Raw genomic sequence first — 27,039 nt, 5'->3', positions numbered from 1 at the left:
CTAAATGAAAAGCACTACATGTGAATCAAAAAAACAGATTAACCATCGTGATATAACTGGGTTCTTGCTACTAAGCAAAATGTTTTAGAATTGAGAAATTCGAGGCCGGGCGCAGTGGCTCACGCCTATAATCCCAGCACTTTGGGAGGCTTAGGCGGCAGATCACCTGAGGCCAGGAGTTCGAGACCAGTTTGGCCAATATGGTGAAAGCTTGTCTCTACTAAAAATACGAAAATTAGCTGGACATGGTGGCGGGCGCCTGTAATCCCAGCTACTCGGGAGGCTGAGGCAGGAGAATTGATTGAACCTGGGAGGCAGAGGTTGCAGTGAGCCGAGATCCGAGATCGCAACATTGCACTCCAGCCTGGGTGACAAGCGTGAGACTCTGTCTCAAAAAAAAAAAAAAAAAAAAGGCCGGGCGCGGTGGCTCACAGCTGTAATCCCAGCACTTTGGGAGGCCGAGGAGGGCGGATCACAAGGTAAGGAGATCGAGACCACAGTGAAACCTTGTCTCTGCTAAAAACACAAAAAATTAGCCAGGCGTAGTGGCGGGCGCCTGTTATTCCAGCTACTTGGGAGGCTGAGGCAGGAGAATGGCATGAACCTGGGAGGAGGAGCTTGCAGTGAGCTGAGATCACGCCACTGCACTCCAGCCTGGGTGACAGAGGGAGACTCCGTCTCAAAAAAAAAAAAAAAAAGAAATTCCATTTTCTTTTTACAGTTCCCTGAATACGCAGGAATAGTATTCTGTGGGGAGGATCTGCTGAAGGCAGACGTGTCGGTGCACATTCCCAAGGCACTCTCCAAACACTAGAGGGATCCAGCAGCGGAGCTGACGATGTATGAAGACTGCCTTTTCTCTCCTGTCGGCATTCTGGATTAGAGCTGATTATTCCCCCCACCGTTTCCTGCCACAGCCCTCACGTTCCCACCTGTAGCCCTGGCTTTATTCTGCGTGTGTGAGAATTCTGCTGTGTTCTTCTCCACCTGCTTCCATCAGGAGGCTTTGCAGGACAGAGACCTTGTCTGGCTGTCCCTGCAGTGCCTCCCACCGGCTACACACATTTCGTTTTTGTTTTTATTTTTATTTTACTTATTTATTTATTGTGAGACAGAGTTTCACTGTCACCCAGACTGGAGTGCAGTGGCGCGATCTTGGCTCACTGCAACCTCCACCTGCCGGGTTCAAGCTATTCTCTTGCCTCAGCCTCCCAAGTAGTTGGGATTACAGGCACCCACCACCAGGCCCGGCTAATTTTTGTATTTTTAGTAGAGACAGGGTTTCACATGTTGGCCAGGCTGGTCTCAAACTCCTGACCTCAGGTGATCCGCCCGCCTCGGCCTCCCAAATTGCTGGGATTACAGGCGTGAGCCACCGCGCCTGGCCTTGTTTATATTTTCGGAGCCAGAGCCTCACTCTGTCATCCAGACTGGAGTGGAGCAGGGCAATCATGGCTCACTGCAGCCTCGACCTCCCAGGCTCAAGCGATCCTCCTACCTCAGCCTTTCGTGTAGCTGGGACTACAGGAACACACCACCACCAGGCTAATTTTTTTGTTTGTATTTTTTGTAGAGTCAGGGTCTTGCTGTGTTGCCAGGCTGGTCTTGAACTCCTGGGCTCAAGTCATCCTCCTGCCTTGGCCTCCCAAACTGCTGAGATTGCAGGTGTGAGCTGCTGTGCCCAGCTGCTAGCCATACAAATTTTGATAAACAGTAAATACTCTGGAAATGTTCACAGGAAGAAGACAAACTTTTCAACTTAGAGCAGGGGTCTTCCAACTGGGCTGCACATTTGAATTATCTGAGGAACTTTAAAAAAAATCCTCCCCCACAACCTCCGCCTCCCAGGTTCAAGCAAATCTCCTGCCTCAGCCTCCAAAGTAGCTGGGATTACAGGCATATGACACCATGCCCGGCTAATTTTGTATTTTTAGTAGAGAGGGGGTTTCTTCATGTTGGTCAGGCTGGTCTCAAACTCCCGATCTCAGGTGATCCGCCTGCCTCAGGCTCCCAAAGTGCTGGGATTACAGGCGTGAGCCATGTGCCTGGCCTCACATGTAAAATGTAAAAATACAATAAAGGTATTATTGTACTTTTATACTTGTATAACGATTTACGGTTTTTTGTTTGTTTGTTTGTTTGTTTTGAGATGTAGTCTCCTTCTGTTGCCCAGGCTGGAGTGCAGTGGCATGATCTCGGCTCACTGCAACCTCTGCCTCCTGGGTTCAAGCAATTCTCTTGCCTCAGCCTCCTGAGTAGCTGGGACTACAGGCGCCCGCCACCACACCCAGCTAATTTTTTTTTTTTTTTTGAGACGGAGTCTCGCTCTGTCGCCCAGGCTGGAGTGCAGTGGTGCAGTCTCAGCTCACTGCAAGCTCCGGCTCCCAGGTTCGCACCATTCTCCTGCCTTAGCCTCCCGAGGAGCTGGGACTACAGGCGCCCGCCACCACACCCAGCTAATTTTTGGTATTTTTAGTAGAGACGGGGTTTCACCGTGTTAGCCAGGATGGTCTCGATCTCCTGACCTTGTGATCTGCCCACCTCAGCCTCCCAAGGTGCTGGGATTACAGGCGTGAGCCACCGCGCCTGGCCCACACCTAGCTAATTTTTGTATTTTTAGTAGAGATGGGGTTTTACCATGTTGGCCATGGTTGGCCAAGCTTGTCTTGAACTTCTGACCTCAGGTGATGCGCCCACCTCTGCCTCCCAAAGTGCTGGGATTACAGGCGTGAGCCACCATGCCTGGCCACAATTTACAGTTTTTTATTTTATTTTATTTTTTTTGAGGCAGGGTCTTACTCTGTCACCCAGGCTGGAGTGCAGTGGTGTGATCTCAGCTCACTGCAACCTCTGCCTCCCCGGGTCAAGTGGTTCTCCCACGTCAGCTTCTTCCCCAGTAGCTGGGATTACAGGCATGTGCCACAACACCCGGCTAAGTTTTGTACTTTTATTGGAGACGGAGTTTCCCTGTGTTGACCAGGCTGGTCTTGAACTTCTGAACTCAGGTGATCTGCTGGTCTCGGCCTCCCAAAGTGCTGGGGTTACAGGCGTGAGCCACCGTATCCGGCCAATTTACAGTTTTTTAGTGCAACAATTTTATTTTTATTTTTTATTTTTAGACAAAGAGGCTCGCTCTATCACCCAGGCTGGAGTGCAGTGATGCGATCACAGCTCACCACAGCCTTGACATCCTGGGCTCAAGCAATCCTCTTGCCTTGGCCTTCAGGGTAGCTGGGACTATAGGTGTGTGCCATTGTGCCTGGCTTTTTTTTTTTTTTTAGAGATGGGGTCTCACTATGTTGCCCAGGTTGGTCTAGAATTCCTGGGCTCAAGTGATCCTCCTGCCTCGACCTCCCAAAGTGTTGGAATTACAGGCATGTGCCACTGTGCCCAGCTGAGTACAATTAATTTTAAATTTTTTTTTTTTTTTGAGACAAAGTCTCCCTGTTTTCGCCCAAGCTGGAGTACAATGGCGCAATCTCAGGTCACTGCAACATCTGCCTCCCAGGTTCAAGCAATCTCCTGCCTCAGCCTCCCGAGTAGCTGGGATTACAGGCGCCTGCCACCATGCCCAGCTAATTTTTTTTTTCTTTTTTTTTTTTGAGACAGAGTTTCGCTCTTTTGCCGAGGCTGGAGTGCAGTGGCATGATCTTGGCTCACTGCAAGCTCTGCCTCCCGGGTTCACACCATTCTCCTGCCTCAGCCTCCCGAGTAGCTGGGATTACAGGCGCCCGGTAGAGACTGTAGTGGTTTCCTCATGTTGGCCAGGCTGGTCTCGAACTCCTGACCTCAGGTGATCTGCCTGCCTCAGCCTCCCAAAGTGCTGGGATTACAGGTGTGAGCAACTGTGCCTGGCTACAAATTTAATAAGTAAATATTTTATAATCTAGTTTGAGACCAAAAATACGTAGGAAACAGCTGGGCATGGTGGCCTGTGCCTTAGTCCCAGCTACTTGGGAGGCTGAGGTGGGAGGACTGATTGAGGCCAGGAGTTTGAGGCTATAGTGAGCTATGATTGGGCAGCTACAGTCCAGCCTGGGCAACACAGCAAGACCCTGCCTCTAATAAAAATATGATCAGGAAGTGGGCAGAGTATATATGTGTGCGTGGCACAGGGAAAGTGCTGAGTACATTATTTGGCAGCAACAGCAGCTGGAAGGAAGTGAGGGTGGAGGAAGGAAGCAGCTATCAGATATGGGGGGAGGTCACAGGATCCTGCCATGTCCCACTGTGCCTAGGGAAAGTTGTTATATGTCCATCAGCAGAAGGACATCTCGATCTCGGCTCACTGCAACCTTGGCCTCCCAGGTTATGGTGGAGAGAGCATCAATGGTGTGCCTGCTTGCATGGAGGTCCTGGTGTGCGGGGACCCTATGGCGTCCTAGGTGCAGTCATCTGTTACCGAGGCAGGGTCCAGCAGCTATAGCCAGAGGAAGTAACTACCTTGTGAGAAGGGGACGCTTCCTAGGAACTGACATGGTTCTGGGCTCTTGGTTCTGTAATCAACTCCCCGGACATTGTGTGACATCAGCGTTAGAAGGTCCAGGATGGCCGGGCACGGTGGCTCACACCTGTAATCCCAGCACTTTGGAAGGCCAAGGTGGGCGGATCACTTGAGGTCAGGAGTTCGAGACCAGCCTGGCCAACATGGTGAAAACCCATCTCTACAAAAATACAAAAATTAGCTGGGTGTGGTGGCACACGCCTGTAATACCAGCTACACGGGAGGCTGAGACAGGAGAATCGCTTGACCTGGGAGGCGGAGGTTGCAGTGAGCCAAGATCATGCCACTGCCCTCCGCTCCAGGCAACAGAGTGAGACTCTGTCTCAAAAAAAAAAAAAAAAAAAAAAAAAAAAAAAAAAAAAAAAAAAAAGAAGGTCCAGGATCCTTCCTTTGGAAACAAGCCCTTCCTGATGCAGGCCTACCAATCTCCATGCCAAACCCCACACTTTTAGCCTGGAATGACCACAGCATCTGCAGCTGATGTCTCAGAGCCTTCGTGCCCTCCTCCTACTTAACTCCTTATTCCTCCAGCCCTAACTCTGGTACCACCCATCCAGGGATCCCTTCACCCATGTAGGGAAGGGATCGCCCTTCACCCTTCACCCTCTTCTGCGGTGTGTTGCACAGCCTTGCTCCCGTTTTGGAACAGTTAGCACACTTGCTCCACTCTGGCCATCTGTGCCTCCTCCAGATCAAGGAATGCACAGGAAACATCTTTGTATTCTCAGCACCCAGCACAGGGCTTCCTGACCTCCTGGTGGCAGCCAGCAAACCTGAGTGGGCCAGTGGGTGGGTGGATAGATGCAGGATGCAGTGAGTGAGTGAGTGAGTGGGTGGGTGGATGAATGCAGGATGCAGTGAGTGAGTGGGTGGGTGAATGAATGAATGCAGGATGCAGTGAGTGAGTGAGTGGTTGCATGAATGAATGCATGATGCAGTGACTCAGTGAGTGGGTGAATGAATGAATGCAGGATGCAGTGAGTGAGTGGTTGTGTGAATGAATGCAGGATGCAGTGCGTGAGTGAGTGGGTGAATGAATGAATGAATGCAGGATGCAGTGAGTGAGTGGTTGTGTGAATGAATGCAGGATGCAGTGCGTGAGTGAGTGAGTGGGTGAATGAATGAATGCAGGATGCAGTGAGTGAGTGAGTGGGTGAATGAATGCAGGATGCAGTGAGTAAGTGGGTGAATGAATGCAGGATGCAGTGAGTGAGTGGTTGCGTGAATGAATGCAGGATGCAGTGCATGAGTGAGTGAGTGAGTGAATGAATGAATGCAGGATGCAGTGAGTGGGTGGGTGAATGAATGCAGGATGCAGTGAGTGAGTGAGTGAGTGGTTGTGTGAATGAATTCAGGATGCAGAGTGAGTGAGTGGGTGAATGAATGAATGCAGGATGCAGTGAGTGAGTGGGTGGGTGAGTGAATGCAGGATGCAGTGAGTGAGTGGGTGAATGAATGCAGGGTGCAGTGAGTGAGTGGTTGCGTGAATGAAAGCAGGATGCAGTGAGTGAGTGAGTGGGTGAATGAATGCAGGATGAAGTGCATGAGTGAGTGGGTGGGTAGATGAATGAATGCAGGATGCAGTGAGTGGGTGAGTGAGTGGGTGAATGAATGCAGGATGCAGTGAGTGTGGGTGAATGAATGTATGAAGAAGCAGTGAGTGAGTGAGTGGATGAATGAATGCAGGATGCAGTGAGTGAGTGAGTGGGTGGATGAATGAATGCAGGATGCAGTTAGTGAGTGAGTGAATGAATGCAGGATGCAGTTAGTGAGTGAGTGAATGAATGCAGGATGCAGTAAGTGAGTGAGTGGGTGAATGAATGAATGCAGGATGCAGTGAGTGAATGAATGAATGTAGGATGCAGTAAGTGAGTGAGTGGGTGAATGAATGAATGCAGGATGCAGTGAGTGAGTGACTGAATGAATGCAGAATGCAGTGAGTGGGTTGGTGAATGAATGAATGCAGGATGCAGTGCGTGAGTGGGTGAATGAATGTACGAAGAAGCAGTAAGTGAGTGAGTGAGTGAATGGATGAATGAATGCAGGATGCAGTGCATGAGTGAGTGGGTGGATGAATGAATGCAGGATGCAGTGAGTGAGTGGGTGAATGAACGTATGAAGAAGCAGTAAGTGAGTGAGTGAGTGAATGGATGAATGAATGCAGGATGCAGTGCATGAGTGAGTGGGTGGATGAATGAATGCAGGATGCAGTGAGTGAGTGGGTGAGTGGGTGAATGAATGCAGGATGCAATAAGTGAGTGAATGAGTGAATGCAGGATGCAGAGAGTGAGTGGGTGAGTGGGTGAATGAATGAATGCAGGATGCAGTGAGTGAGTGGGTGAGTGGGTGAATGAATGCAGGATGCAGTGCGTGAGTGGGTGAATGAATGAATGCAGGATGCAGTGAGTGAGTGGGTGAATGAATGAATGCAGGATGCAGTGAGTGAGTGGCTGGATGAATGAATGCAGGATGCAGTGAGTGAGTGGCTGGATGAATGCAGGATGCGGTGAGTGTGTGAGTGGATGAATGAATGTAGGATGCAGTGAGTGAGTGGGTGAATGAATGAATGCAGGATGCAGTGAGTGAGTGGGTGAATGAATGAATGCAGGATGCAGTGAGTGAGTGGGTGAATGATTGCAGGATGCAGTGAGTGAGTGAGTGGCTGGATGAATGCAGGATGCGGTGAGTGAGTGTGTGAGTGGATGAATGAATGTAGGATGCAGTGAGTGAGTGGGTGAATGAATGAATGCAGGATGCAGTGCGTGGGTGAGCGAATGAGTGGGTGAGTGGATGAATGAGGAAGTGCGAGTCAGAAAACCCCAGTGTAACCGGTGAATGAGCGAACAAGGGCGTGACTGGGCGAGGAGAGATGGGAGTGAATGAGGGTGCGGTGGGTGCAGGCTTGCGCCTGAGGTAGTGCACCTGCGAGTCCGGAGGTCCAACCTGAGGGGAGGTAACCTGCGCCACCAGCAGGCTCCGTGTCCACGTGGACGGGGAGGGGCATGTGGGCGTGGCTAGGCGGGTTGTAGGCGTGGCGAGGCCGGGCGAGGAGCGCGGCGGGCCCGCAGGGGCGGACTGTGGGCGTGGCGCGCGGGGGAGGGGGCGTGACCAGGCGGGGTGTGGGCGGGGCGAGGGCGCGGCGCGGCAGGGCTGCGCGGCCGGGTGGCGCGGGAGGAAGTCACGTGGGAGCGCGGGCTCACATGACTGGCCGCGCGATGGACCCGCTGCCCGCGGCTGCAGTCGGGGCGGCAGCTGAGGCGGAGGCTGACGAGGAGGCGGATCCCCCGGCGTCAGGTAGGGCGTGGGGCGGCGGTAGCCCCCACCTGCCCAGGGCGCGCGGCCCGACCACCCCCGGCGGACGGGGCTCAGCCGCCGCGCTTGGTCCCCGACTCGTTTCCTGCCCCCGCGCCCCGCGTTCGGCCCCACGCCCCAGTCCCTCGGAGGTCCCCCTGCCCTCCTGCGCGCCTGTCCTTTGGGGGTCCCCGTGCTCTCTCGCGCCTCCGTCCCTCGGGGTCCCCTGCCCTCCTGCGCCGGGAGAGCCCTGTCCAGGTTACAGCTGGCCGCGTTCCGAGGCGCTTTCCCGGGGCTCTCAGAGGCGTCCTCGGGGACAGTTTCCTCCTCGCCCCGTTCCTGGTGCCCTGCTCTTCTGCCCTGCCTGGTCACGCTGAGCGATGGCACTGGGGGCCACTTCCCCGGACTTGGGCGCCTTTCCTAGCCACATCCTCTCTCCCAAGCTCCTGTCGGTTGTGTGGTCTTGGGCCAGTAATTTCACCTCTCGGGACCTCTGTTTTCTCATCTGTGAACCGAATCTATAGATGTGTAGCTGCTTTTCTCTCTCTTTCAAGTGATCCTCCGCCTTAGCCTCCCAAAGTGCTGGGACTACGGGCGCGTGCAGTTACGCCCGGTAATTTTTTTTATTTTTGTAGAGATGGGATCTTGCTATGTTGTCCAGGCTGGTCTGGAGCTTCTGGCCTCAAGCGGTCCTCCTGCCTTGGCCTCCCAAAGTGCTGGGAGTACGGGCATGAGCCATCGTGCCTGGCCTGTATTTCTGTCTTTTTCTTTTTTCTTTTTCTTTTCTTTTCTTTTTTTTTTTTTTTTGAGACAGATTCTCACTGTCACTCAGGCTGGAGTGCAATGGTGCGATCTCGGCTCATTGCAACCTCCGCCTCCCGGGTTCAAGCGATTCTCCTGCCTCAGCCTCCTGAGTAGCTGGGATTACAGGCATCCACCATGACACTCGGCTAAATTTTGTATTTTTAGTAGAGACGGAGTTTCACCATGTTGGCCAGGCTGGTCTCGAACTCCTGACCTCAGGTGATCCAACCACCTCAGCTTCCCAGAGTGCTGGGATTACAGGCGTGAGCCACCGCGCCTGGCCTCTTGTATTTCTCTTTAAGGGATTTGGGTTAATGAGGCTAAACATGGCTGGGCACGGTGGCTCACGCTTGTAATCTCAGCACTTTGGGAGGCCGAGGCGGGCGGATCACGAGGTCAGGAGATCAAGACCATCCTGGCTAACACGGTGAAACCCTGTCTCTACTAAAAATACAAAAAAAATTAGCCAGGCGCGGTGGCGGGCGCCTGTAGTCCCAGCTACTCGGGAGGCTGAGGCAGGAGAATGGCGTGAACCCGGGAGGCAGAGCTTGTAGTGAGCCGAGATAGCGCCACTGCACTCCAGCCTGGGCGACAGAGCGAGACTCCGCCTCAAAAAAAACAAAACAAAACAAAACAAACGAGGCTAAACATTAGAAGGAATACAGGAGGGTGCCCCTTATTTCTGGATGTTCCTTCCTGTGGTCCTAGCTGCCAGAGAAGAGATGTAGGTGGGTGTTGGTGTGAGTTACGGTTTCTTCTTGGTGGGGGGGGACAAGATTGGGGAATCCCCTTGTGGGGAGGTCTGGCAAGGTGTCGCTGAGGAGGTGATGACTGAAGTGAGCTCTGGAGGGTTGGTAGACAGTTTCTTCGTCGGCGAGAAACGGCAGCGGGGAGCAGGGGAGGGATTGTTGCATTTGGTGGGCATCCTCGATGTGAAGACTGTGTCTAGAAAGAAGGGCCTTTCAGAATGGGTCTTCAGTTATTTTTTCCTTTCCCTTGTATCAGTGTAAGGGGAGGCACGTGATAGTTCTCGCTGATTAGAACATTGTGTCCATGAAGTCACATGTTGGAGGCCAGCGTGAGTCTCAGGCGGGACCCTTTCCGAGGGGTCACTTGGGAACAGGTAGGCTGTGATTGGATCGGAATGCTGCTGCTATCTCAGCTTGTAAAGCAATTTGGCATTGCTGGAGGGGTCCTCTGCAGGTGTAGGGGACTGTGTTTCCTTCAGGCTTCACAGAAGTAGACTCCAGAGGCTACCATAATGGTGTAATTTAGAGATAGTCTGAGCGCTGTACACCTGAGGGAGCTGTGTCTCTGGGAGACCGCCCTCCCTTTGGTGTGGCCTGGAATTCCTGTAGGTAGTTGGCTTTTTCTGGGGGCAGTGGTGATTTCATCAGGAGTGCTGATGGGATCCACAGATGGGGGTTGCTGGGACAAGGCAGTGCTTCACAGTGCCCTTTCCTGTAACCAGGCAAGTCTGAAAGTGGGGCTCACAGACTCTTGGGACGTAGACTGTCCTTCTGTTTGAAACTTGGTCGTCATCCTGGCAGGTGGGTGAAGTGGTATAGCAGGTCTTTTTTTTTTTTTCTTGAGACGGAGTCTCGCTCTGTCGCCCAGGCTGGAGTGCAGTGGTGTGATCTCGGCTCACTGCAAGCTCTGCCTCCCGGGTTCATGCCATTCTCCTGCCTCAGCCTCCCGAGTAGCTGGGACTACAGGCGCCCGCCACCACGCCCGGCTAATTTTTTGTATTTTTAGTAGAGACGGGGTTTCACCATGTTAGCCAGGATGGTCTCGATCTCCTGACCTCGTGATCTAGCCGCCTCGGCCTCCCAAAGTGCTGGGATTACAGGCGTGAGCCACCGCGCCCGGCCTCGCAGGTCTTTTTACATTGAGAAAACTAAAATCCAGAGGTAAGTAATTTGCCCAAAGTGGGCAATGTCAAGGGAATGTGTGTTGATGGGGACCCTGATTGGGTGGGCTGGAGTGAGAAAACCTCAGCCTTGAGACCAAGCACTGTGGCTCACGTCTGAAATCACAGCACTTGGGGAGGCTGAGGAGGGAGGATCGCCCGAGCCCAGGCGCTAGAGACCAGCCTGGACAACGTAGCGAAATCCTGTCTCAAATTTTTAAAAAAGAAAACAAAAACAAAAACAGCAAAGAAAAAAGTTAAGTCTCTGAATATTGTCCGGAGACTATGTGTGTGACTTACACGTTCACTAAGGTTGGTTTGAAGGAGTGGTTGTGCCTTACGGGTATACAGTGAATTTCCTCTTCTCTAGAGTTTTGGCCACACAGCCAGAGCCCACTGGTGGTATTCATGTGGGAACTGTGAAATCTCCTGCATCTTCGGTGTTGCCAGAAAAAAATGTGCTTGTTGTACTTTTCCACATTAAGAGTCTCATTCTATTTGAATTCTTTGAAGCTTAAGCTGTGAATGCTCTCTAGGGCAACCCTCTTTATAAAAACTTAATTTTCAGTTATGCCATACATGGACAAATGTATTTTCTTTAAAAAAGAATAGAACATTGTAGATTAAGTGAAAGTCCCATCCTAATTGCCATCATCTCCTGTCTGTACCTGAGAGGTGACCATTGTTCTCAGTTTGGGATGGACCGTTTTAGTTCTGTTTTCACATTTTATTCATATATGTACTCAGGAAACATATACTTCCTTATATAAGTGTGCTCATGTTTCCCTAGCGTAGTATATTCTCTAGCTTTCTTTTGTTCCTTTTATTTTTATTTATTTATTTTTTTGAGACGTAGTTTCACTCTTTTGCCCAGGCTGGAGTGCAGTGGTGCGATCTTGGCTCACTGCAAGCTCCACCTCCTGGGTTGACGCCATTCTTCTTTCTGCCTCAGCCTCCTGAGTAGCTGGGACTACAGGTGCCTGCCACCACACCTGACTAATTTTTTGTATTTTTAGTAGAGATGGCATTTCACCGTGTTAGCCAGGTTGGTCTTGATCTCCTGACCTCATGATCTGCCTGCCTCGGCCTACCAAAGTGCTGAGATTACAGGGGTGAACCACTGCGCCCAGCCACGCCTGGCCAATTTTTAAAATTTTTTGTAGAGACAGTCTGGCTGTGTTGCCCAGGCTGGTGTGGAACTCCTGGCCTCAAGCAATCCTCCCACCCGGGCCTCCCAAAGTGCTGGGATTTCAGGCATGAGGCACCGAGCCTGGCTGGATTTTATATTGAAACTATTCCTGTCAAAATATCTGATTGACCGGAACATTCTGTCCTCTGACTATGCAGGATAAGGGTTTTTTTCAGGGCCTGTTCTTAGGTCATGAAGCTCAATGATTGTGACATCCAGCGAGAACGGCAGTGAGTGTGGTAAGTGTGCTTGGTCGTCCAGCCTGATTTCTCGGGATCGATTAATACATGGATAGAAATATGTACAGATGACCACGGCGTATCCTGGCTCTGCCGTATACAGTCCTGCGGCCCTACATTGACTCTTTAGAACGAGGGTGAGTCACGCTTCACTTGCGGCTCATCCCATGGCATTCCATACATTCCATTCGGTTCGGAAGCTCCGTGCTGTTTGTCCGCGTTGACCTGGCGATGACTCCTTGAGTGTCATTGAGGCAGGTCCAGGGCCTTTGCTGACCCTCGGGGCTCCTTCACCCCTGCCCCGAGCCTTCCCCTCTTGCCTGGGCGACTTCCATGCACCCTGGGCTCCCATCAACCCTTACCTGCAGCTGCTCGCTCATGTCAGGTCTGTTCTCTGTGTGAATACGTTGGTCAGAATTCATTGCGCTGTCACTTAAAGTTTATACTTTTTTTTTTTTGAGATGGAGTCTCGCTCTTGTTGTCCAGGCTGGAGTGCGATGGCGCGATCTCGGCTCACCGCAACCTCCTCCTCCCGGGTTCAAGCAATTCTCTTGCCTCAGCCTCCTGAGTAGCTGGGATTACAGGCATGCGTCACCACACCTGGCTAATTTTGTATTTTCAGTAGAGACGGGGTTTCTCCATGTTGGTCAGGCTGGTCTCGAACTCCCAACCTCAGGTGATCTGCCCACCTTGGCCTCCCAAAGCACTGGGATTACAGGCGTGAGCCACCGCGCCCGGCTGGTTCTGGTGATTCTTGTGCCTCAGCCTCCCCAGTAGCTGGGATTACAGGCGTGTGCCACCACACCTGGCTAATTTTTGTATTTTTAGTAGAGACGAAGTTTCGCCATGTTGGCCAGGAAGGATGATCTCAAACTCCTGACCTCATGTGATCCACTTGCTTTGGCCTCCCAAAGTGCTGGGATTACAGGGGTGATCCACCCCACTGGGCCTATTTATACATTTTGAGCAGGGTGTGGTGGCTCACACCTGTAATCCTAACACTTTGGGAGGTTAAGGCAGGAGGATCACTTCAGGCCAGGAGTTTGAGGCCAGCCTGGGCAATAGAGTGAGACCCCATCCCTATTTAAAAAAAAGATTTGTGTCTGGGCCTGGTGGTTCACGCCTGTAATCCCAGCACTTTGGGAGGCCGAGGTGGGCGGATCACCTGAGGTCAGGAATTCAAGACCAGCCTGGCCAACATGGTGAAACCCCGTCTGTACAAAAATCCAATAATTAGCTGGGCATAATGGCGAGTGCCTGTAATCCCAGCTACTCGGGAGGCTGAGGTGGGAGAATTGCGTTAACCTGGGAGGCAGAGGTTGTAGAGGTTGTAGTGAGCCGAGATGGTGCCGCGCTGCAGCCTGGTTGACAGAACAAGACTCCAGCTCAAAAAAAAAAAAAAAAAAAAATTTGTTCATTTTATGGTGATTAAATTATGCCCCACAGTATTGTTTGCATTAGGGACAAAACCTTCTGCCCCATTTCGCTCCCTTCCATGACCCTTTTTTTTTTTTTTTTTTTTTTGAGACAGAGTCTCACTCTGTTGCCCAGGCTGGAGTGCAGTGGTGCCATCTAGCCTCACTGCAACCTCCATCTCCTAGGTTCAAGTGACTCCTGCCTCAGTCTCCCCCGTAGTTGGGATTACAGGCGTGTGCCACCATGCCCAGCTAATTTTTGTATTTTTAGTAGAGTCGGGGTTTTACCATGTTGACCAGGCTGGTCTCGAACTCCTGACTTCAGGTGATCCGCCCGCTGCAGCCTCCCAAAGTGCTGGGATTACAGGTGTGAGCCACCGTGACTGGCCATGACACATATTTTGGTAGTAAACTCCTGATGAGCAAACTTATTTTTATTTTTTTTACAAGTTTATTTTGTTTATATAGTTTTGTTACTTTTTTCTTTTTTTAATTCTGGCTCTCTCCAGAAAACAGAAACCTATTTTTCTTTAACCACAGTATCTAGAATACTATCTGCTATGTAGCAGAGTCTCAAATATTTGAATAGAATTACATTTTTATAAATTTTTGTATTATATTTCTTATGTGATAAGACTTGACAACACTGCAAATATGTTTTGTTACTGGTCTTTAAACTTGCTCATCCTCTCTCTCTCTCTGTCTCTCTCTCACACACACACACACGCACACATACACAATTTGCAAGGTAAAACGTGTCAATTTGAAGAAAGAGGAACTAACTGAATCACTGTTATGTAGAACAGATTTTGCCAGAATTTGTGGTTAGCAAGAAAGTGATGTGTTCCGGGTAGGGGAATTCTGTTTTGGTATTATTTTGTCTTTCCTGAGAAAAGCATCACAAAAAGAGATGTTTGCCCATCCTGTTTGCTGGGGTAGTGGGAAGAGACCGGGGGTGATGGTGGTGCTGGCTGGACGTGGGTGGTTTCACAGGACCTGCTGTGTCTGAGAGGAGCCATGCGGTGATTAGAAGCTTGGAGGCTGCAGGTAGGAGGCACAGAGCCCGAGAGTGCATGGAGAGCCTGGCTGTCGGTCTCCAGCATTGTCACTGTCACCTTTTTTTTTTTTTTTTTTTTTTTTGGAGACAAAGTTTTTGCTCTTGTTGCCCAGGCTGGAGTGCAATGGTGCGATCTCGGCACACTGCACCCTCCGCCTCCCGGGTTCAAGCGAGTCTTCTGCCTCAGCCTCCCGAGTAGCTGGGATTACACGTGTCCACCACCGCACCTGGCTAATTTTTGTATTTTTAGTAGAGATGGGGTTTCACCATGTTGGCCAGGCTGGTCTCGAACTTGGAACCTCAGTGATCCCCCCGCCTTGGCTTCCCAAAGTGCTGGGATTACAGGCGTGAGCCACTGCACCTGGTCCATTGTCATCCTCTGAGAAACTGGAGCGCGGCCACGCTCTGCATATTTCTACTATAGAATCACCAAAAAAAAAAAAATCACATAACCAGACTTAAAGGGCAGAAGTGCTTTGTGAGAAGTGTTTTTGGGAAAATATTGGCATTAAAATATCAGGTAGGGTCCCTTTTGGGAGGACTGAGGAGGGGTGTGTGTTCAGCTCCGGGAGGATCTGGTCTGCCCTTCCTGCTGTTTTCTGTTGACTGGGTGGGAGGAGGCACTTTGCTGTTTCTGTTGTGTGTAGCAGGGGTTTAATGGGGGTCTTTTTAGCTCCCTATAAGCATTTTGAAGTTTGTGTGTTATGGAAATCTGAAGTGAAATTACACAAAGTTTGATTAACCCCAGGAAGTACTGTAGGGGCCGGAGAAACTCAGGTTAGGTAATATCTTTCAAGAAGCCCAGTTACGTTATTTTCCAGGAATCTTCCAAAACCTGATTTGTGCGGGTGTCCACCAGGAGCCTGATGAGTGAGTTGTCATCAGACCCAGTAATGCGCTGTTGTTGTGTGAATTGGTGCTTTCAGAAAATTTTGTTATACAAGTGATACAACCACAATCGCAAAAATTTCATAGACAAATCACCTGTAGTTCCACCCCTTTTAACAGCCGTTGCATTTTAATATATTTCCTTTTTTCCTGTGCATTGCTTTGTATGTAGTTATCATCATAGTGAATATGCGTCTTTATAGTTAGTTCCTTTCACTTGACATTTTTCTACACTGCTAGTTTTCGTAATTTTCTACCTAGTGTCTGTATAATAGTGCATTAAGGAATATAAAGTTGTGCTTCGAAAGTGCTAATATGATAAAATTTCAGTTAAAAAAAATTTCAGTTAGAGATATTCTTGCCACATGTTTTCCAGAAAATGATTTGTTAAATGGAATCCATATTAAAATTTGTCCCGGAGGCTGGGCACGGTGGCTCACGCCTGTAATCCCAGCACTTTGGGAGGCTGAGGTGGCTGGATTACAGCCTGGCCAACATGGTGAAACCCCGTCTCTACTAAAAAAAAATACAAAAATTAGCCAGGCTTGGTGGCATGCGCCTGTAATCCCAGCTACTCGGGAGCCTGAGGAAGGAGAATTGCTCGAGGTTGCAGTGAGCTGAGATCGCGCCACTGCACTCCAGCCTGGGCGACAGAACAAGACTGTCTCAAAAACAAAAAACAAACAAAAAAATGACTTGTCCCGGGTTGGGCACAGTGGCTCATGCCTGTAATCCCAATGCTTTGGGAGACCCTACAGAGCCTGATAAGGGATAAGACTGAATGAAAATCGAGGAAGATGCCGTACCAATTAGGCTGGTAGTTCCCTCTGGCGGGAAGAAGGCACCCAGATCTGTCAGGGATGCAACCAGAAGGAGCGTTTCCAGGGTGCCGCTGTCTTTATTTTTTATTTTGTAGAGACAGGGACTCACTACGTTGCTGAGGCTGTTCTTGAACTCCTGGGCTCAAGCAGTTCTCCTGCTTCGGCCTCCCAAAGTGCTGGGATTACTGGTGTGAGCCACCGTGCCTAGTCTGGCTGTCTTTAATTCTTGGCCTGGATGGTGGTTACACGTGTTTGGTAAATAATTTTGTTCGAGTGTTCATAGAAGTTTTATAGTCCTTTCTGTGCATGTGTAAAGTATTTAATAATACAAAATAATACAATACAGGCCGGGCATGGTGGCTCACGCCTGTAATCCCAGCACTTAGGGAGGCCGAGGCAGGCGGATCACCTGAGGTCAGGAGTTCGAGACCAGCATGACCAACATGGTGAAACCTCCTCTCTAATAAAAGTATAAACATTAGCCAGGTGTGGTGGCGGGTGCCTGTAATCCCAGCTACTTGGGAGGCTGAGACAGGAGAATCACTTGAACCCAGGAGGCAGAGGTTGCAGTGAGCTGAGATTGCACCACTGCACTCAAGCCTGGGCAACAGAGCAAGACTTTATCTCAAAAACAAACAAACAAACAAAAATACAAAATGTTGGGGGAAAACCTGAGGTTCCTAAGATAATTTTGTAGGACTATCTGGACTGACTGCCTTGGTATTCATGCCCCAAGTCCCGTTGGATTTACCCAGAGGGAGGTGCCTTTAGGGTGAAATCCGTTTTCTTGCCTCAGTGTCTGCTCCTAACAGAGGGCACTGCGGTTGATCAGCAGAAGAGCTCCCCTGCCTCCAGCTGTTTCTGAGGCCTGAGTGCTGCTGGCTCAGCCCGGTGCTCTGTTGAGTCCAGCTGTTTCGGTGACCCACCGGCAGCACAGCAGGAAGGAGCACCCAGACCCTCCGGCGTCTGCAGGAACAGCAAGGCTTGTCTGGGAACCTCACTCTCAGCCAAAAGCCAAAAGCAGCTCTCTGGCCAAAGCTGTCAAGGAGAGTCAGATGATATTCATTACTGGGCACAGTTCATTATCTTCAGGACCGAAATTTCACCTCCCAGCTCCTGAGAAATTCCAGTCCAGGCTGGGGGTGGACCTGTCTTTCAAGAACCGGCCACTTAGTGCCCGTGTTTTGCACCAAAAGGAGATTTGAAATTGCATTTTCAGCTCTTCAGAGTCTGGGGAGTGTCTCTGTGTGTGCAGTTTCTTATCTCAGGACGGCATGTGCACGGTTAGCCTTCCTTCCTTGGCTAGATAGGAAAGGAGGGACACTCCTGGAAGCTTCTGCGAAGTTTAAAGTGACCCTGTGTTATGTGCAAATGGGCGTGCTTCCCTCCAAGGTGGGCTACTCAGTGAGGGGACCGTATTCCCATCTGCCCCTGTCCTTGGGGAGATGGAATTTTTTTTTTTTTTGAGATGGAGTCTCGCTCTGTCGCCCAGGCTGGAGTACAGTGGGGCAATCTCCGCTCGCTGCAAGCTCCGCCTCCCGGGTTCACGCCATTCTCCTGCCTCAGCCTCCCGAGTAGCTGGGACTACAGGCGCCCGCCACCACGCCTGGCTAATTTTTTGTATTTTTAGTGGAGATGGGGTTTCACCCTGTTAGCCAGGATGGTCTCTATCTCCTGACCTCGTGATCTGCCCACCTTGGCCTCCCAAAGTGCTGGGATTCCAGGCGTGAGCTGCCGTGCCCGGCCGGGGAGATGGATTTATGTGTAGTCGGTCCTTCTTTGCAGAGCAGGGGTGGGAGAATGAGTCCCACTGATCCCCAACTCTCTTTTTTTTTTTTTTTTGAGACGGAGTCTCGCTCTGTCGTCCAGGCTGGAGTGCAGTGGCACAGTCTCGGCTCACTGCAAGCTCCGCCTCCTGGATTCATGCCATTCTCCTGCCTCAGCCTCCCGAGTAGCTGGGACTACAGGCGCCCGCCACCACGCCTGGCTAATTTTTTTGTATTTTTTTTTTTTAAGTTTTTATTTTTTTTTATTTTTTATTTATTATTATTATTTTTTTAATTGATCATTCTTGTGTTTCTCGCAGAGGGGGATTTGGCAGGGTCATAGGACAATAGTGGAGGGAAGGTCGGCAGATAAACACGTGAACAAAGGTCTCTGGTTTTCCTAGGCAGAGGACCCTGCGGCCTTCCACAGTGTTTGTGTCCCTGGGTACTTGAGATTAGGGAGTGGTGATGACTCTTAACGAGCATGCTGCCTTCAGGATCTGTTTAACAAAGCATATCTTGCACCGCCCTTAATCCATTTAACCCTGAGTGGACACAGCACATGTTTCAGAGAGCACAGGGTTGGTGGTAAGGTCACAGATCAACAGGATCCCAAGGCAGAAGAATTTTTCTTAGTACAGAACAAAATGAAAAGTCTCCCATGTCTACTTCTTTCTACACAGACACGGCAACCATCCGATTTCTCAATCTTTTCCCCACCTTTCCCGCCCTTCTATTCCACAAAACCGCCATTGTCATCCTGGCCTGTTCTCAATGAGCTGTTGAGTACACCTCCCAGACGGGGTGGTGGCCGGGCAGAGGGGCTCCTCACTTCCCAGTAGGGGCGGCCGGGCAGAGGCGCCCCTCACCTCCCAGACGGGGCGGCTGGCTGGGCGGGGGGCTGACCCCTCCACCTCCCTCCCGGACGGGGCGGCTGGCCGGGCGGGGGGCTGACCCCCCCACCTCCCTCCCGGACGGGGCGGCTGGCCGGGCGGGGGGCTGACCCCCTGACCTCCCTCCTGGACGGGGCGGCTGGCCGGGCAGAGGGGCTCCTCACTTCCCAGTAGGGACGGCTGGGCAGAGGCACTCCTCACCTCCCGGACGGGGCGGCTGGCCGGGCGGGGGGCTGACCCCCCCACCTCCCTCCCGGACGGGGCGGCTGGCCGGGTGGGGGGCTGACCTCCCCACCTCCCTCCTGGACGGGGCGGCTGGCCTGGCGGGGGCTGACCCCCACCTCTGTCCCGGACGGGGTGGCTGCCGGGCGGAGACGCTCCTCACTTCCCAGACGGGGTGGCTGCTGGGCGGAGAGGCTCCTCACTTCTCAGACAGGGCGGCTGCCGGGCGGAGGGGCTCCTCACTTCTCAGACGGGGCGGTTGCCAGGCAGAGGGTCTCCTCACTTCTCAGACGGGGCGGCCGGGCAGAGACGCTCCTCACCTCCCAGACGAGGTCGCGGCCGGGCAGAGGCGCTCCTCACATCCCAGACGGGGCGGTGGGGCAGAGGCGCTCCCCACATCTCAGACGATGGGCGGCCGGGCAAAGACACTCCTCACTTCCTAGATGTGGTGGCGGCCGGGAAGAGGTGCTCCTCACTTCCTAGATGGGGTGGCAGCTGGGCAGAGACGCTCCTCACTTTCCAGACTGGGCAGCCAGGCAGAAGGGCTCCTCACATCCCAGACGATGGGCGGCCAGGCAGAGACGCTCCTCACTTCCCAGACGGGGTGGTGGCCGGGCAGAGGCTGCAATCTCGGCACTTTGGGAGGCCAAGGCAGGCGGCTGGGAGGTGGAGGTTGTAGCCAGCCGAGATCACACCACTGCACTCCAGCCTGGGCACCATTGAGCACTGAGTGAACTAGACTCCGTCTGCAATCCCGGCACCTCGGGAGGCCGAGGCTGGTGGATCACTCACGGTTAGGAGCTGAGACCGGCCTGGCCAACACAGCGAAACCCCGTCTCCACCAAAAAAATACGAAAACCAGTCAGGCGTGGCGGCGCGAGCCTGCAATCGCAGGCACTCGGCAGGCTGAGGCAGGAGAATCAGGCAGGGAGGTTGCAGTGAGCCGAGATGGCAGCAGTACAGTCCAGCTTCGGCTCGGCATCAGAGGGAGACCGTGGAAAGAGAGGGAGAGGGAGACCGTCGGGAGAGGGGAGAGGGTATTTTTTTTTAATAGAGATGAAGTTTCACCGTGTTAGCCAGGATGGTCTCGATCTCTTGACCTGGTGATCTGCCTGCCTCGGCCTCCCAAAGTGCTGGGATTACAGGTGTGAGCCACCGCGCCTGGCCGATCCCCAACTCTTTGAGAGCCTGGACAATGTGCTCTGCATTCTCCTTAGGGTCTGTGTGTGAACTAACAAGCTGAGAAGTAGGTAGTCCTAGCCTCACTTCAGAGATGAGGAAACTGAGGCATACAGAGGTTTGGTAATGAGTTAGGAGACAGAACTCGACGCTGGAGGCAGGGCCTGGATAGCAGTCGAAATTGAGGACTAGCTGAAATAGGTCCAGGGCAGAATCACCTTCCCATAAGACACGCCTGCCAGTGGGCCATGTCAGTTTACCATCACCATGGCAACACGTGGATGCCCTTTTCCATGACAATGACTGGACAACCCGGAATTTACTACCCCCATTCTAGAAATTTCTGCATAAATCACCCCTTAGTTTGCATATAATTAAAAGTAGGTATAAATATGAGTGCAACACTGCCTCTAAGTTGCTGCTCTGGGTGCCCTGGTAAGGGGGTGGTTCTGCTCTGCAAGGAGCAGGACCTCTGTTGCTGCTGTGCGTGCTGCTGCTTCAATAAAAGTTGCTAACACCATCGGCTCAGCCTTGAATTCCTTCCTAGACAAAGCCTAGAAGCCTCTGGGCTAAGCCCGAATTTGGGGGCTGGCCTGCCTTGTATTCATATGCCCATGAGCACACGGCCAATAGGTGGTGGTGCTGGGATTCACACCAGGTGTGGGGCTGCAGCTGGGACATGAGCAGTGTGGCCTGGCCTGTGAGGGTCTCTGTTGGATTTGCGTCTGGCCACGTTAAGCAGCCATTCGTAGGCATGGAGCTTTCCCTCTTCAGATGGTTTTCCTTAGAGGGAGATAGTTGCACAGACCTTTCTCATAAATAACACCCTAGACAATTGTGCTAGGTCCTTTTTATCTTTTCAGAACAGGAATGCACTTTAAAGTTAGGAAACAGGACGTAATGAAAGAGCATGTAAATTCAGAATGCCTGTTGTGAGTGTTGAAGTCATTTTGTGGGAGAATGGTTACTTGTCTCGTTCGAGGTTGGGTTTAAGCTCCACAACAGGGGCTGGGCACAGTGACTCACGCCTGTAATCCCAGCACTTTGGGAGGCCAAGGTAGACAGATCATTTGAGGTCAGGAGTTCGAGAACAGCCTGGCCAACATGGTGAAACCCCGTCTCTACTAAAAATACAAAAATTAGCTGGGCGTGGTGGCATGCGCCTATAATCCTAGCTACTCGGGAGGCTGAGGCAGGAGAATCATTTGAACCCAGGAGGTGGAGGTTGCAGGGAGCCAAGATTGCACCACTGCACTCCAGCCTGGGTGACAAGAATGAAACTCTGTCTCAATAATTTAAAAAAAAAAGAAAAAAAGACCAGCCTGGGCATTACATAGCGAGACCTTTTCTCTACAAAAAAATGAAAAAATTAGCCAGGCATGGTGGTACGTGTCTGTAGTTCCGGTTACTTGGGAGGCTGAGGCAGGAGGATCGCTTGAGCCCAAGAGACTGAGGCTACAGTGAGCTAAGATCGTGCCACTGCACTCCAGCCTAGGTGACAACAGATCAAGACTCTGTCTCCAAAAAAAAGAGAGAAAGCTTTGCAACGTGTCTACTGAAAATATTTAGTTCATTCTGGACAACTGGGTGTAGACAGTCTGTTTCCAGTTGAGTTCAACATAAAATCTCCTTGAATTGTCAGCTCTGAAAAAACAAATCACTTCTTGAATTTTGTGAGGCACAGGCTGAGTTCCCTTAAACGCGTTAAGATAATCTGAGCATCCTGGTTAACCAATCTTGGAGTTTTGGGGTCTGTAAGACACCAGATGAGAGTCCAGCCTTCTGTGCATGGAAAACTAGGTCTTCGTGTTCAGTGCAAATTTAGCCGTGGGGGAAAAACTGACTAAATATTTCTCTTCCTGTGACATTTTTCACAGTTCCTAATTTGTTCTTGCTGACTTCTGAGGCGTTACATTTTCTGGTTGATTAATTGCGTTCCTTGTTGTCTACCCTTAAGGCAGCCAGGAGAAGGAAGTGCGCCTTCTTCCTTGCTGTGCTTGCCATAGATCAATCAAGGTTTGCTGAAATGGATTTAATTGTATCTCACTTGGCCCATTATGCTGGCTGACTGCTTGGAATTTTCTTGGAGGGACCTTATTTGGTGGCCAATGAAGGTTCTTCTCCATTTGGCCTCTATGAGGATCAAGACAGACTTAGCCCCGTCAGATATTTTGGAATCTTTTCACTTTCATGTCAGGAGACCCTAGAAAAAAACCGGAGTCACTTTCAGACCAAACCAACCACCAGCCAGGAGGAGGGTTAAAAAAGAAAACGCAAGAAACCAGGCATGGGTGGCATTTAGTTAAACAGAGACGAGGACTCTTTTTGGAACTCCAAACTCCTACTTGGTAGGTTATTCCAAGATTCCCCCAATTTGCTAAAATAGTATTCCTTTTTAACTCCGGAACAAATCGCTGGGCCTCCCCTCAGATAAACATTCCCGAAATGAGAGACCCGAGAGGTGTTTTGAGGAATGAGCTGAAGTCCAATGGGCCCTTTCAGAAGGGGGTTCCGGGGGATTGGTGGGACGGATGGCTCTGATGTCCTTGGCTGGCTCCGCTTGTCCCTTGACTCTGATTTGAGTCAGAGGAAATCATCTGAGCGGTGAGTATTTCCAGCACCACACTTCAGTTTTGTGACGTGGAACCAGTGATTTTTTTTTTCCCCTTTGTGGTCTGGTCTCTTGCATCTCCCATGTCCTGCTTGTGTGTGGGTGTGCGTGGGGGGTTCATATGCAGTTCCCTGGGTCTCAGCGATGGATGGCCCGTGCTCTGTTTGTAATCATCCACGGAACCTCAGGCGTGGTCTGGTTCCTGATGAGAACAAGATGCCGTTGTCCTATCGAGGAACCTAGCTCTCTGGGGAGCCCTGACCCTGGTCAGCAGCTTGCTCTGTCTGTGGTTTGATCTGGGAATTTGGTATCAGGAGTATAGGCCCATTAAAAAAGAAAAGCTCAGACCAGGCATGGTGGGTCACGCATGTAATCCCAGCACTTTAGGAGGCCGAGGTGGGAGGATCACTTGAGGTCAGGAGTTCGAGACCAGCCTGGCCATCATGGCGAAACCCTGTCTCTACCAAAAATCCAAAAAATTAGCTAGGCGTGGTAGCATGTGCCTGTAATCCCAGCTGCTCGGGAGGCTGAGGTATGAGAATCTCTTGAACCTGGGAGGTGGAGGTTGCAGTGAGCTGAGATCGTGCCACTGCACTCCAGGCTGGGGGACAGAGCAAGACTCCATCTCAAAAACAAAAAACAAAAAACAAAAACAAAACCAAAACCCAGGTTGGGTGTGGTGGCTCATGCCTGTAATCCCAGCACTTTGGGAGGCTGAGGCGGGTGGATCACCTGAGGTTAGGAGTTCGAGACCAGCCTGGCCAACATGGTGAAACCCCGTCTCTACTAAAAATACAAAAATTACCTGGGCGTGCTGGTGCATGCCTGTAATCCCAGCTACCCGGGAGGCTGAGGCAGGAGAATTGCTGGAACCTGGGAGGCTGCGGTTGCAGAGAGCCGAGATTGCACCACTGCACTCCAGCCTGGGGGACAGAATGAGACTCCGTCTCAAAAAACAAAACAAAACAACCCAAACCAAAAATAAAACGAAAAAGAAAAGTTCAGAGCCTGGGCACCATAGTGAGACTTTGCCTCTACAAAAAAAATAAAAAGTTAGCTGCACATGATGGGGCAGGCCTGTAGCCCCGGCTACTCGGGAGTCTGAGGCAGGAAGATCACTAGAGCCTGGGAGTTCGAGGTGATCTCGCACTGTGCGAGCTGTGATCGCACTACTGTACTCCAGCCTGCACGACAGAGCGAGATCCTCTCTAAAAATAAGAATAAAGAAAAGCTTGGGCCCTGGGCACCATGCTAGGTGCTTTAACATTTTTTGTGTTTTTTTAGTGTTTCTTTTAAAAAAATATTTTTATTTCAATAGTTTTAGGGCTGGTTTTTGGTTATGTAGATGAATTGTTCGTTGGTCGAGGCTGGGTTTTTATTGTACTTGTCACCAAAATAATGTCCATGGTACACAGTAGGTAATTTTTCATCCTTCACCCCCTCCCGCCCTCTGAGGGTCCAGTGTCTGTTATCCCACTTTTGCCTGCTTTTGTGTCCCCGTAGTTCAGCTCTCACTTATAAGTGAGAACATGTGGTATTTGGGTTTCTGATCCTGAGTTACTTCACTTAGGATAATGGCCTCCAGTCTCATCCAAGTTGCTGCAAAAGACATGATTTCATTCTTTTCTATGACTGAGTAGAATTCCATGATGTATATGAACCACATTTTCTGCATCTACTCATCGGTTGACGGGCACTTAGGTTGATTCCATATCTTTGCAACTGTGAATTGTGCTGCGATAAATGGGCATGTGCAGGTATTTTTTTTTTTTTTTTTTTTTTTTTTTGCGGCGGGGTTTTGCTCCTGTTGCCCAGGCTGCAGTGCAGTGGCACAATCTCGGCTCACTGCAACCTGTCCCTCTTGGGTTCAAGCGATTCTCCTGCCTCAGCCTCCCAAATAGCTGGGATTATAGGCATGTGCCACCGTGCCTGGCTAATTTTGTATTTTTAGTAGAGATGGGGTTTCACCATGTTGGCCAGGCTGGTCTCGAACTCCTGACCTCAAGTGATCTGCCCGCCTCGGCCTCCCAAAGTGCTGGGATTACAGGTGTGAGCCACCATGCCCGTCCCCTTTTTGATGTAATTATTTCTTTTCTTTTGGGTGATTACCCAGTAGTGGGACTACTGGATTGAATGGTAGATGTGCCTTTAGTTTTCTGAGAAATCTCCATACTGTTTTCCGCAAAGGCTGTACTAATTTCATTCCCATCGGTAGCGTGTAAGCATTCCCTCTGTACCACATCTACGCCAACATCTGTTGTTCTTTGACTTTTTAATAATAGCCATTCTGGCTGGGGTAAGATACTATCTCATTGTGGTTTTAATTTGCATGTCCCTGTGATGGATTAGTGATTTTGAGCATTTTGCATATATTTTTTGGCCATTTGTATATATTTTTTTCTTTTTTGAGACAGAGTCTCACTCTTGTTGCCCAGGCTGGAGTGCAATGGCGTGATCTCAGCTCACTGCAACCTCTGCCTCCCAGGTTCAAGCGATTCTCATGCCTCAGCCTCCTGAGTAGCTGGGATTACAGGTGTCCGCCACCATGCCTGGCTAATTTTTGTATTTTTGTAGAGATGGGGTTTAACCATGTTGGCTAGGCTGGTCTCGAACTCCTGACCTCAGGTGATCCACCCGCCTCGGCCTCCCAAAGTGCTGGGATTACAGGTGTGAGCCACCACACCCGGCTGTTTCAAAATATCTTAATGTTACATCACATTAAATAAGGTATTAAATAGCCCCATTTATATAGCAATCAGGCAAGAGAAATAAAGTGCATCTGGATTGGAAGAGAGGAAGTCAAACTATCTCTGTTTGCTGATGATATGATATTATACCTAGAACACCCTCAAGACTCCTCTAGAAGACTCCTAGATTTGAGAAAAGAATTCAGTGAAGTTTCAGGTTACAAAATCAGTATACACAAATCAGTAGCATGCTATCTGCCAGCAGCGACCAAGCTGAGAATCAAATCAAGAACTCATTCCCATTTACAATAGCTACAATAACAACAACCAAACACCCTAGGAATATAGTTACCCAAGGATGTGAAAGATCTCTACAAGGAGAACAATAAAACACTGATGAAATAAATCATAGATGACACAAACAAATGGAAAAACATCCCGTGCTCAGGGATTGGGAGAATCAATATTGTGAAAATGACCACACTGCCAAAAGCAATCTACAGAGTCAGTGTGATTCCTACCAAGATACCAACGTCATTTTTCACAGAATTAGAAAAAGATCCAAAAATTCACATGGAAACAATGAGCCCGAAAAGGCAAAGCAATCCTAAGCAAAAGGAATGAATTTGGAGGGATCGCATTACCTGATTCAAGTTAATCTCTAAGGCTGTAGTAACCAAAATAGCATGATCCTGGTATAAACGTGCACACAGACCCATGGAACAGAATAGGAACCCAGAAATAAAGCTACATTTTTACAAGCAGCTGATCTTTGACAAAACATACAAAAACATATCACTGGGGAAAGGACGCCCTGGTTAATAAGTGGCGCTAGGAAAATTGGATAGCCACATGCAAAAGAATGAAACTGGGTCGCTCGCTCTCACCATATGCAAAAATCAACTCAAGACTTAAATCTAAGACCTGAAACTATAACAACTCTAGAAGATAACATTGGGAGAACTCTTCCGGACATAGGCCAAGGCAAAGAATTTATGCCCAAGGCCCCAAAAGCAACAGAAACACATTTCCTTTTTTTTTTTTTTTTTTTTTTTTTTGCTGGGATTACAGGCGCCTGCCACCATGCCTGGCTGATTTTTGTATTTTTAGTAGAGACAGGGTTTCACCATGTTGGCCAGGCTAGTCTTGCACTCCTGTTCTCAGGTGATCCACCTGCCTTGGCCTCCCAAAGTGCTGAGATTACAGGTGTGTGCCTCCGTGCCTGGCCTCTTTTTTTTTTTTTTTTTTGAGATGGAGTATCCCTCTGTTACCCGGGCTGGGTGCAATGGCACGAACTCGGCTCACTGCAGCCTCCGTCTCCTGAGTTCAAGCAGTTCTCGAGCCTCAGACTCCCGAGTAGCTGGGATTACAGGCACGTGCCACCACACTTGGCTAATTTTTGTATTTTTATTAGATATGCTGTTTCACCATGTTGGCCAGGCTGGTCTCGAACTCCTGACCTCAAGTGATCTGCCCGCCTTGGCCTCCCAAAGTTGCTGGGATAACAGGTGTGAGCCACCGCGCTTGGCCTACATTTTCTGTTTTGAATTCTTGCAACCAAACA

General features: G+C 50.3%; 1 protein-coding gene across 5 annotated transcripts in view, besides 16 other annotated features; it reads left to right on the top strand.

The window, feature by feature from the left end:
* The window catches only part of SNX8 (sorting nexin 8), a 102,728-nt gene that overhangs the window by 32,372 nt on the left and 43,317 nt on the right, over window positions 1-27,039 (top strand). The window contains exon 1 of one of the 5 annotated variants that reach the window (NM_013321.4): window positions 7,685-7,798. The exons of 1 other annotated variant lie outside the window; for it this stretch is intronic. In NM_013321.4, coding sequence (NP_037453.1) covers window positions 7,705-7,798 — 94 coding nt within the window. In that variant the 5' untranslated portion in view covers window positions 7,685-7,704. Of the gene's footprint in view, window positions 1-7,684; window positions 7,799-9,455; window positions 9,723-12,052; window positions 12,074-12,169; window positions 12,322-27,039 lie in introns of those variants that run through there. 3 more of the 5 variants (XM_011515329.3, XM_047420281.1, XM_011515330.3) reach the window with 3 other exon arrangements.
* Window positions 6,580-7,080: an enhancer, noted in NCBI's record as "H3K27ac hESC enhancer chr7:2354681-2355181 (GRCh37/hg19 assembly coordinates)". NCBI's record gives its function as "activates a minimal SCP1, AML or CMV promoter by ChIP-STARR-seq in primed H9 embryonic stem cells {active_cell/tissue: H9 hESC(primed)}" and the evidence as "EXISTENCE:reporter gene assay evidence [ECO:0000049][PMID:30033119]".
* Window positions 7,081-7,581: an enhancer, noted in NCBI's record as "H3K27ac hESC enhancer chr7:2354180-2354680 (GRCh37/hg19 assembly coordinates)". NCBI's record gives its function as "activates a minimal SCP1, AML or CMV promoter by ChIP-STARR-seq in primed H9 embryonic stem cells {active_cell/tissue: H9 hESC(primed)}" and the evidence as "EXISTENCE:reporter gene assay evidence [ECO:0000049][PMID:30033119]".
* Window positions 7,081-7,669: a biological region, named in NCBI's record as "H3K27ac hESC enhancer GRCh37_chr7:2354180-2354680".
* Window positions 7,400-7,669: a silencer, noted in NCBI's record as "silent region_17866". NCBI's record gives its function as "represses an Ori minimal core promoter by ATAC-STARR-seq in GM12878 lymphoblastoid cells {active_cell/tissue: GM12878}" and the evidence as "EXISTENCE:reporter gene assay evidence [ECO:0000049][PMID:35858748]".
* Window positions 7,770-8,009: a silencer, noted in NCBI's record as "silent region_17865". NCBI's record gives its function as "represses an Ori minimal core promoter by ATAC-STARR-seq in GM12878 lymphoblastoid cells {active_cell/tissue: GM12878}" and the evidence as "EXISTENCE:reporter gene assay evidence [ECO:0000049][PMID:35858748]".
* Window positions 9,326-9,455: an enhancer, noted in NCBI's record as "active region_25526". NCBI's record gives its function as "activates an Ori minimal core promoter by ATAC-STARR-seq in GM12878 lymphoblastoid cells {active_cell/tissue: GM12878}" and the evidence as "EXISTENCE:reporter gene assay evidence [ECO:0000049][PMID:35858748]".
* Window positions 9,496-9,575: an enhancer, noted in NCBI's record as "active region_25525". NCBI's record gives its function as "activates an Ori minimal core promoter by ATAC-STARR-seq in GM12878 lymphoblastoid cells {active_cell/tissue: GM12878}" and the evidence as "EXISTENCE:reporter gene assay evidence [ECO:0000049][PMID:35858748]".
* Window positions 9,776-9,945: an enhancer, noted in NCBI's record as "active region_25524". NCBI's record gives its function as "activates an Ori minimal core promoter by ATAC-STARR-seq in GM12878 lymphoblastoid cells {active_cell/tissue: GM12878}" and the evidence as "EXISTENCE:reporter gene assay evidence [ECO:0000049][PMID:35858748]".
* Window positions 9,966-10,035: an enhancer, noted in NCBI's record as "active region_25523". NCBI's record gives its function as "activates an Ori minimal core promoter by ATAC-STARR-seq in GM12878 lymphoblastoid cells {active_cell/tissue: GM12878}" and the evidence as "EXISTENCE:reporter gene assay evidence [ECO:0000049][PMID:35858748]".
* Window positions 11,118-11,626: an enhancer, noted in NCBI's record as "H3K27ac hESC enhancer chr7:2350135-2350643 (GRCh37/hg19 assembly coordinates)". NCBI's record gives its function as "activates a minimal SCP1, AML or CMV promoter by ChIP-STARR-seq in primed H9 embryonic stem cells {active_cell/tissue: H9 hESC(primed)}" and the evidence as "EXISTENCE:reporter gene assay evidence [ECO:0000049][PMID:30033119]".
* Window positions 11,627-12,137: an enhancer, noted in NCBI's record as "H3K27ac-H3K4me1 hESC enhancer chr7:2349624-2350134 (GRCh37/hg19 assembly coordinates)". NCBI's record gives its function as "activates a minimal SCP1, AML or CMV promoter by ChIP-STARR-seq in naive and primed H9 embryonic stem cells {active_cell/tissue: H9 hESC(naive and primed)}" and the evidence as "EXISTENCE:reporter gene assay evidence [ECO:0000049][PMID:30033119]".
* Window positions 12,138-12,647: an enhancer, noted in NCBI's record as "H3K27ac-H3K4me1 hESC enhancer chr7:2349114-2349623 (GRCh37/hg19 assembly coordinates)". NCBI's record gives its function as "activates a minimal SCP1, AML or CMV promoter by ChIP-STARR-seq in naive H9 embryonic stem cells {active_cell/tissue: H9 hESC(naive)}" and the evidence as "EXISTENCE:reporter gene assay evidence [ECO:0000049][PMID:30033119]".
* Window positions 14,134-14,433: an enhancer, noted in NCBI's record as "active region_25522". NCBI's record gives its function as "activates an Ori minimal core promoter by ATAC-STARR-seq in GM12878 lymphoblastoid cells {active_cell/tissue: GM12878}" and the evidence as "EXISTENCE:reporter gene assay evidence [ECO:0000049][PMID:35858748]".
* Window positions 19,379-19,879: an enhancer, noted in NCBI's record as "H3K27ac-H3K4me1 hESC enhancer chr7:2341882-2342382 (GRCh37/hg19 assembly coordinates)". NCBI's record gives its function as "activates a minimal SCP1, AML or CMV promoter by ChIP-STARR-seq in naive H9 embryonic stem cells {active_cell/tissue: H9 hESC(naive)}" and the evidence as "EXISTENCE:reporter gene assay evidence [ECO:0000049][PMID:30033119]".
* Window positions 20,382-20,882: an enhancer, noted in NCBI's record as "OCT4-H3K27ac-H3K4me1 hESC enhancer chr7:2340879-2341379 (GRCh37/hg19 assembly coordinates)". NCBI's record gives its function as "activates a minimal SCP1, AML or CMV promoter by ChIP-STARR-seq in naive H9 embryonic stem cells {active_cell/tissue: H9 hESC(naive)}" and the evidence as "EXISTENCE:reporter gene assay evidence [ECO:0000049][PMID:30033119]".
* Window positions 20,883-20,932: an enhancer, noted in NCBI's record as "active region_25521". NCBI's record gives its function as "activates an Ori minimal core promoter by ATAC-STARR-seq in GM12878 lymphoblastoid cells {active_cell/tissue: GM12878}" and the evidence as "EXISTENCE:reporter gene assay evidence [ECO:0000049][PMID:35858748]".

The sequence above is a fragment of the Homo sapiens genome, chromosome 7 (genome assembly GCF_000001405.40).
Source record: "Homo sapiens chromosome 7, GRCh38.p14 Primary Assembly".
Taxonomy (NCBI): Eukaryota; Metazoa; Chordata; class Mammalia; order Primates; family Hominidae; genus Homo; species Homo sapiens.
This window is presented reverse-complemented; position numbering and strand designations above follow the sequence as displayed.